We start from the raw sequence: 8,814 nt of genomic DNA on the forward strand, positions 1-8,814 counted from the left end.
AGCCCCAGAACCTGTGCTCGCTCCCTTGGGAGGCTGTTATTGCATCTGCTGCAGCTGTGCCCACTGCCAGGATGCCTCTGGCCAGCTCTTTGCATAACAATGCTCAGAAAAAGAACCAAGAATGACCCTGCTTAAGGGCGCTGTGACTTAAGGAAATGCTCACTCTCCCAGAGGAGAACCGAGAACCTCACTTGGAGACACAGAATCCAGAATCCAGTGAACACCACTTGGCATCGGCCCTCCCAGGCTCAGTCCTTTGCTGCCTGCGAAGAGCGTGTGGCTTCCTCCGAAGGTGCCATGCCAGCGTCCTGCATTTAACCTCCCCCACTGGGGAGCCTTGTTTACTAAACAAAGCGACTGCACAGAATCGGGCCTCTGGGGAAGGCAGCAAGGTGGAAGGGCAGGGGTCAAGAAGCGGGGTCAAAGGGCTGAGACCCTGGGGAAAGCGGGAGATTAAACATCCTCCTTTTCAAATCGGGAGGTTCAGATAATTAATTGGTCCCCGAACATGAAAGCTTTCAATGATTGTCCTGGGCAGTGGCCATTCCGCCTTGCTTCTCGTCTGGCTTGCTGGGACCCTCTTCTGCACTGCCCAAGCTGGGGCCAGACCAGCTGATACCCAAGCGGACAGAGGTCTGGCCCAAAGGAGGCCTGTGCCAGTGTCTGTCCCCACAGAATCCCTTCTTCACTGTTACAGTGACAGTCTGCCTTTCACACAGACGGCCAACCTCTGGAAGGACCGGGCCTCTGAGGACAAGGAGAGTCAGGGATAGGGGGCCGCTTCCATGCTGGGACCACCATGGTGTACATGGCCTCCTGGCCAATTGGAACTCCCTGGCAGAGAGACGGCAACTGAGGGATCACGTCCTCCCTCGCTGCCCTGGGAGAATCTGAGTCTGGCTGATCCCATCAGGATTGCTCCCACTTTCTGAACCAGAAACACCCCAAAAGCCTTCTGACATCATGGTGATCCGTGAGAGTGGGGTGACAATTTCCCACATGGCATACCTGTGGGAAGGTGAGAGATGGGTACCTTGATGTCTTTTAAAATTCCTCTTTGACAAGGATGATGGTCATAAACATGAACGAGGACCACACACACACAGATGTTCACCTGCTGCCCTCAAGTCTCTTGCCCGTCATGATGTGTGATCCCATTTTACAGATGAGAAGACAGAGACTTCTCATGAGCACTCTCTGGAGTCAGGGGCTCCTGGCTGCACAGTGGTCTCTCTCGGGGGAACAAGAGAGACCTCCGAGAAGGCATGTTCTCCACCCTGGAGAGTGAGCTGCTGCAGGGCTGGGCCAGGGGAGGGAGTGATTGTGGAGCTGCAGCCTGAGTCTGTGGGGCAGAGGGCCCAGTTTGCCGGTGGCGGCCTTGCCTGTCCTCTGCAGGGCTCCCATGGGCTTGGGAAGGGGCCATGTGGAGAACCCTCCTGGGTGCTGAGGAGCCAGTCTCTGGGAGTGGCCATTCTGGGCAGGACTCCCCAGAACTGTGCTCAGGCCAAGGCCAGCTCTGGTAGAGTCAGGATGACCATTGGAAAGCCCCCAGAGGGGGCAAAACTTAGCCGTGGGGATTGGGCAGGGTAGGCGCAGGAAGCCAGAGGCCCCTGCCAAGGGAACAGTGCACCCCATTGGCAGGTCCTTGGTCAAGGGTGGGGCCCGGGGTGAGGGACTTGCACCAGTGCGGGAGGGGTGGGGGCGGGGTTGCTGATGACTGCTAAGTGCCCTAGCAATGAAGCTGAAAGGGCTCTCAGGCACCCCTTTCTTCTTTCCTGAAAGGATCAATCGCAGAGCTCTGCCTTTGTGTGTGTGATGGCCCTGCTGTGAAGTACACTTAAGGAATCAAGTTTTCTAAAATTCTATAAATCATTATTCCAGCCTCTTGCTCACCCGCTCCAAAATCATTCATCTGCTGAAATATTTAGCGATGGGTGCGTCTGCGCACACACACCCTGTAGGCAGGCATGCGGAAGAGGACATAGGAGCCGTGGCAGAGGTGTCCCAAGGCCTCTGCCTCTCTGCTGTCCCTTCACAGCGACCTTAACAGGCCCCATGATAGTCATGTGCAGGTGATCGTGACCAAATCTTGAGATGTGGCTTCCTCCGCCCCTCTCGAGGGCTCCATAAAAGGAAGTCCCCAGGGTACTGTGGTAACACCCTGGTGGCTCCCTCTGGGGTCCCAAAGAGGAAGGCGTGGGTGTGTGCACAGGTTTGTGGTCAGGTCTGCTAGGGTGGCCGGGGAACACCACCCTGTAGAAGTTGTTCCTGGCTCCTGTCCTCTGCACTGTTGGCCACTCTTAGCAAGCATCTGGGGAGAGCAGTGTTGTGCTGATGTGATGAGTTTAGCCTGTGAGTTGTGGGCTGGGCAGGGGAGACTGGAAGTGGTGGCCCTTTGGTGGACTTGGTTATTTGAGAGTGAGGGTTTTGGCCTGGTTCCTCTGTCCTCACCAGGGCTAGAAGCTCCAGTACTTTCCAGAATTTTCCACCCCTCCCTCCCTGTACACACACACCCTGACACATGACAGGGCAGACCACAGCAGCCACAGCCAATGTCCCTGAAAGGCAAGGCAGGCCTGATTGATTTGCAGTGGTTGATCTGTGTAATGTCCCTTCTCCCCAAGCACCCATCTCGCCTGCAGAGGTGCTACATTACTTCGCAGGCCTGGCTGCCAGCCTGACACCCTACGCCCTGGAGGATGCTTGGGAGGTTACAGGTGCAACAAGCAAAATGAAAATCCATAGTTTTAAACCTTTATGAATTGAGAATGTGAACCTGGCAAATGGACCCGGAGTTACTAACGGACAATTGGTGTAACCAGCCCATCCATCCTCCAGGACCTGGCAAGGCCATTTCCGTGAACTGCTGGCTCCTAAACACGGAGCCTTCCCTGAGCCTGCCTTCCCTCCCCCTTCTCAGAGTCAGGAAAACAGATGCAGGCATGGGAAAAAGACCTGCAGACGGCCTGCCAGGGGCCCCCCGGCTCTGTGTGCCCAGGTGAGGCCTTAGGAGGAGGCAGCAGTGGGTGTCGGGGAGGGGATTCAGGCCTCCTGGGCTGTCCAGGGCTTTAGCCAACCATCAATGGGCGAAACAGAGCCGCTATCCTGACTTCCACATACAAGCATTAGAAATCTCCTCTTGTACAAAGGAAGACCATATCCCAACCATACATGTGCACTTGACTCAATGGCTGTGCTATCAAGTGGGAGGGACATCCAGCCCTGGGTCCCCCCGGTCCTAGCCATCTGTATGTACTAAGGACACTGTCTCTCAGAGCCTGCAAACATGCCATCCCTGCAATACCCATGAGTCACTCACCTTCTCAGAGGAGCCTTTTCTGGCAATTCTGTTGAATGTTGCCCCAACCCTGTATTCCCTACACACTGCCTGCTTTATTTTCTCTATAGCTGTGGTCACAATTGGACGGACTGTATATTTTACTTATTTGTGGGTTTCATATCTGTTTTTCTCCTCTAGGACAGAAGCTCCATGAGGGCTGGAATTATCGTCTGTTCTGTTTGCTATTTTTTCCAAGCACCTAGAAAATTACCTGGCACATAGTAGGTGAATAATAAGTATTTGTTGAGTGAATAAATGAATGGTTGGATGTCCCAGAGGTGTGAGGCTTTTCCTTGTTTGAACCCCAGCACTCTGATCTCCACCCTCTAGAGGGGATTGTCCCTTTCCTGTTGCTGCTTCATTAGCTGTCGTGACCTTGCCAGGACCTGCCTGCTCGGCTGCCTTCCCACTCTTTTTTCTCCTGTCCAGCCCCGCGCCATTCTCATGCTCCTGGTACATGAGAGCAGTTTACTGTTCTGCTCCCGTCTGGGTGTTCTCTCTTTTCCTGCAGGCCCAAGATCACTAATTAAATGAAGGGACTTGGCGTTTTTCTCCCTGCATGCCCCCATCCTTCACCAAGCACCCCCCAACCCCAACACTTGGACACAACTGATGCTGAGTTGGAAGTTTCCTAAAAGTTACTGTGGACTTTCCCTCTAGACAGCAGCATGAGCTGCTCCGCACCTTCACAAACAAGGGAACAAGGGGACAAGTTCAGCCCTTTGAGGATTAAACTCTGAAATCAACCCATGATTGATGGGGGCAGAGATAAACAGCCCTGAGAAGCAGAAGGGACACAAAAGAAGTGATCAATAAATGTTAGCTTCCTTCTGCTGTGGTCTGAATGTTTGTGTCCCTTCAAAATTCATATCTTCATACCTAATCTCCAATGAGATAGTGTTAAGGGGTGGAGCTTTGGGCGGAGTCCTCATGAATGGGATTAGTGCCTTTAAAATATAGGCCTGAGGAAGTTTGTTTTCCCTTCTGCCATGTGAGCACACAGCTGGAAGGTGCCATCTATGAGGCAGAGCATGGGTCCTCGCCAGACACCAAATCTGTTGTCACCTTGATCTTGGACTTCCCAGCCTCCAGAACTGTGAGCAACAAGTTTCTGTTGTTTATAAATTATCCAGTCCAAGAAACTGTGTTACAGCAGCCTGAATGGACTAAGACACCTTCCTTTTCCCTTCATTTTCTCACTGCACGAGTCTGGGGTATTTGTTCATCAGATGATGTGTCAGTCAGGATGAGTTAGGTGATCATGCTGCAGTAACTAACAAAAGATTATTTCTAGATTATGCTATGGTCATGAAAGTTTCTTTCTGCCTCATGCTACAGATCCCCCATGGCTGAGGAGTTTTGTTGTAGTTCTCTTCATTCTGCACTGCAGGCAGATACAAGAGTGAGTATCTTTGACATTCCCTGTTGCAGAGAGAAAGAGAATGTATCATGAGTGGGTGCTTTCTTAAGTCTACCCAGGAAGTGACATTTATATTCCCACTCACTTTTCACTGGCTTGAACATGTCACATGGCTATGTGGAGCAGGAAGGGCAATCTTGCCATGTGCCCCAGGGGAGATCCGGAAGTCATCTGATGAATAGCACTGACTCCCACCGTGAGAGGCCTTTTTCTGAAAGAAGGGGTGCACTGGGTCACTGCCGACACTTTTCCTGTTTTGAGGAACCTGTGAGTCCCTGTCTGTTTTCATGCCAGCCTTGCTGAGGAGCCCCAGGAATCTTCCCCTAGTCTGTCTGGGCTCCTCTGCAACAGTCTGCTCTGAAGGCAGCTCTTGTTCTTTGCCTCCCACAGGCGCCCTGATGGCTCCAGAGGGCAGCCTCTCGGTGACAGGGCTGTTTTTATGGATTGCTGAGGTTGGATGGAGGTTGATCAGCAGAATGGCCCACATCCTACGGTCACTCACCTTTGGCCTGAGCCCAGTTGTAGGGTGCTGCTGCTGCACCTGCAGAGGAAAGGGGGCAGGTGGCCAGGGTTGCAGACTTAGGCCCACTTGCTCTGGGGCCCAGGCCAGAAAGCACCAATTCTGAGGCTCCATCAAAGACCCTCTTCAGGGGCACAGGGCTTAGGAAGGCAGTGAATGCCTCCTAAGAGGCAGAGTTGGTTTGGGAACTCGCGTCTTTTTCTCTTTGTTAAAAAAAAAAAAAGACTGACTTGGCACATCATTTCAGTAGCGCTCTTTTCAGCAGATCAGACCCTCTGGTTCTTCTATCTTTTCAACACATGCCAATCTTGGATGAACCCAATTATCTGCCTTCATTCAAGGAGCTGAGGACTGTTGGAGGAAGTCTCACAATAGGACAGACAGATGGATGCCACTGGAAACGTACAAACTCCAATCTCAAATAAAGCCTCAAAACTGCCCAGCAACCCTACAGTGGTTCTCTGCCAACTTTCCCTCCTTCGCTCTCCAGAGTGATGAGTTCAGAACTTTGCCATTGCCTTCACACTTTCAAGCTCTTCCATCCTTGCCTTTCTTCTCACTCTTGACAGCATTTCTCAAAGTTCTTATTCTGGAAAACACTTTAAAATACTTTCTAGGTCTGATGTAACTCATGCATAAAATTTATTTAATCTATGGATTGTGGTACATTAACATAATCAGGAAATTATAGATATTATAAACCAATAAAATGTCAATGCGTTTTTGAGTAGGAAAAAAAAAAGCCGGTGGGGCGGGGGAGTGGGGAGTGGGGTGGGGCATGGAAGGGAAATGCCTGAGAGTCACCAAAGGCTATGGAGATGTCAAGTTTCTTTCAAGACAGGCTTTTAATGAAGGAAGTGAAAATAGAGCAGATGAAAAAAATACACGTGCAATGTAATCAAGGCAAATGCATCTTCACAAATGCCTTTTCTAAGTTGTTAGTGATACAAAAGCCGCGGTAGAATCTGTTTCCTTGTGAGCCTTCTGGTGGTTTTGAACTATTTAAAACACACCAAAATGCAGACGGAAGGGAGCACCATGGAGCACAACAGACTGCAGGACGTTTGTGCGGAGGGGCACTGTGTGGCACGCGGCAAAGGTGTCGAAACTTAAAATAGAGCATCACTTCTTCCGAAACAGGAAAATATTCATGGGGGATTTTGCTCTCTTTTTGTATACATGTTCTATGTGGCTCTTTTCTCCCTTTTTTCGTTAGCTATATGGCAGAAAAGTTACCAGGAACCTGCATGGAAGTGGCACAGATGCCTTAGTGGATCTGGAATGTTAAAAAACAAGCTATATTTTTAAAAAAACTAGTGTAGTGAGATATAATTCACATACCATGCACTTCATCCATTTAAAGCATATAATTCAATGATTCTAGTGTATTCACAGTTGTGTATCCATCACCACAATCAACTTTGGAACATTTTCACTACCCTAGAAAGCAACCCCCCACCTTTTAGCCATCACTCCCCAATCTCTCTATCTCTCCCAGCCAAAGGAAAACACTTGCCTATCTTTTGTCTCAATAGGTTTATCTATCTGGGCATATCATATAAGCAGAATCATAAATAAGTGGTCCTTTGAGACTGATTTTTTTTCATGTAGCTGATGTTTTAAAGGATCAGCCATGCTGTAGCATGTATTAGTACTTTATTTCTTTTTGTTGATGAATAATATTCTATTGTAGGTATATAGGTCATTTTTTGAATTACTGTAGTTCAAAAACCTAAGTATGTGACTGAGGAGAAAAGGGGTCACAACAAGTGAAGAAAAGAAACCTGCAGGCATTTTACTGCCAACCTGAACTCCTCCACTTTTAGGCTGAGCAGAAAGGATTCTGGCCTCAATAAAGGGTTCATGGAAAACTAAAAAGAAGCATTTGGATCAGTCTTGTTGATAAGATCTGGCAAAGGTTATGTGAGAGGACCCAGAGAGGCTTTTAAATTCCATGTTTTATAAATATGTTTAACATTGTTTGGAGGGAAAAGTAGGAAAAAATATGTATTTCAATGTTAGTCATTAATTTTCTTAGGGCCATGTGATTGATCAAATATAGCTACCCTATCCCCAGGGAAGAACCTCTCAAGATAGAAGTGAAGGTCTTTAGGGCACTGAGACACAAACGTGAAGCTGTAAAGTGAAGGTAAATCCCCAGTCTCTGTGCAGATGTTGCTACTCCTGCTGTCTTCTTACTGCTGGCATGTTGCTTGCTACAGTCCAGATCCTCCAGCCACAGAGTATGTCTGTGCCCCTTAGGGCTGTATAAAATTACCACATTCTCAAGCCCAGCCTAGAGTCAAGAGGTTAGAGACTCAGAACAGTGGTAACTACTGATGAAGCAGTTGCTTTTGAACTTTTTCTAAGTGTGATACTCCTGCTTGGTTGCAACAATGGCCCCAATTTTTCACCCTTCTCTATAGCCATACTCTTCACTATGTGAATCTGAGCTTCCTCCCACTGCACTTCAGGCAGTGTGACCTGCCCTATCCTTTAACACTGACCTCAGCCATGTCACTTGCTGTGGTCAATGGGATGTCAGCAGAGGCATGAGCAAGCCAGCTGAACTGCAGTGCCTGGATGAACCTAGCCAAGATCAGCCAACCTTGACCTGTGAGCAGTTAGCAGTTCAGCAGAAGCATATAGTCAGCCCTTCACTGATTCCAGATGTTTGGATGTGAGCATACACTTATTGTTGAATGCCGTTGAGACTTTGTGATTGTCCATTACCAGCATATAGTGGCAATGCATAACCGACACAGGACCTTCACAAAGTCGTTCTTAAATTCACTGTTTTTGCTAGGCGAATCTAACATTCACATTCTCCTTGCTTCATGCATTCCATCCCTGGATTTATGATTTTCTCAGACTGCATCTCGCATTCTAGTCCCTCATGTGTTCTCTCTGCAAGTCCTCTTTTTGCTCTTCTCTCCTGTTTTATGTGCCAGTGGTTCATTATGCTAATTTTCTCTCCCAGTCTCTCATTCCTTCATTATACACCATGAACAAGAGAGCAAGAAAATGAAAAAGACCCAGAACTTTGGTGAGTTGACTGTTCAACTGCAAGATTGAGATATGGGATGAATGAATGAACTAGAAAATAGAAAACATTGATTGCTTTACGTTTTCATCCACTCCATGTTCATCATAGAATGCCCTCACATGGTGGCAGGACAATCATTAACCTGTCTTAACTACATCAGAAGAACTTTTCAGTGAGTACTTTCATTAAAGGGTATTAATAGGTGTGACACAGGCTGGTGCAGGACATACAAGAGCAAAGAAGTAGAGGAAGGGGGAGGTGTGGCTTCCTGTCACAGCCAGCCTAGGTCCTACTGGCATTTTTACAGATGAAACCGTAAGCACCAAATGTGTATGCTTCAATACAGAAAGTCGCCAAGCAGTGAGGCTGCACTGCATGAGGTCAACTGTTTTCTAAATAACCTTCCGCCCTGTTATTTAGGAGGATGGAAACAAGAGACTGAACGAAATAAACAGAAAATGAAAGACAGGGAAGGAAGTGGTGGTAAT

General features: G+C 48.5%; 4 annotated features.

Moving 5' to 3' along the window:
* Positions 649 to 1,598: an enhancer, noted in NCBI's record as "OCT4-NANOG-H3K27ac-H3K4me1 hESC enhancer chr18:54743705-54744654 (GRCh37/hg19 assembly coordinates)". NCBI's record gives its function as "activates a minimal SCP1, AML or CMV promoter by ChIP-STARR-seq in primed H9 embryonic stem cells {active_cell/tissue: H9 hESC(primed)}" and the evidence as "EXISTENCE:reporter gene assay evidence [ECO:0000049][PMID:30033119]".
* Positions 1,599 to 2,548: an enhancer, noted in NCBI's record as "OCT4-NANOG-H3K4me1 hESC enhancer chr18:54744655-54745604 (GRCh37/hg19 assembly coordinates)". NCBI's record gives its function as "activates a minimal SCP1, AML or CMV promoter by ChIP-STARR-seq in naive H9 embryonic stem cells {active_cell/tissue: H9 hESC(naive)}" and the evidence as "EXISTENCE:reporter gene assay evidence [ECO:0000049][PMID:30033119]".
* Positions 2,194 to 2,263: an enhancer, noted in NCBI's record as "active region_13367". NCBI's record gives its function as "activates an Ori minimal core promoter by ATAC-STARR-seq in GM12878 lymphoblastoid cells {active_cell/tissue: GM12878}" and the evidence as "EXISTENCE:reporter gene assay evidence [ECO:0000049][PMID:35858748]".
* Positions 2,549 to 3,497: an enhancer, noted in NCBI's record as "H3K4me1 hESC enhancer chr18:54745605-54746553 (GRCh37/hg19 assembly coordinates)". NCBI's record gives its function as "activates a minimal SCP1, AML or CMV promoter by ChIP-STARR-seq in naive H9 embryonic stem cells {active_cell/tissue: H9 hESC(naive)}" and the evidence as "EXISTENCE:reporter gene assay evidence [ECO:0000049][PMID:30033119]".

The sequence above is a fragment of the Homo sapiens genome, chromosome 18 (assembly GCF_000001405.40).
Source record: "Homo sapiens chromosome 18, GRCh38.p14 Primary Assembly".
Classification (NCBI taxonomy): domain Eukaryota; kingdom Metazoa; phylum Chordata; class Mammalia; order Primates; family Hominidae; genus Homo; species Homo sapiens.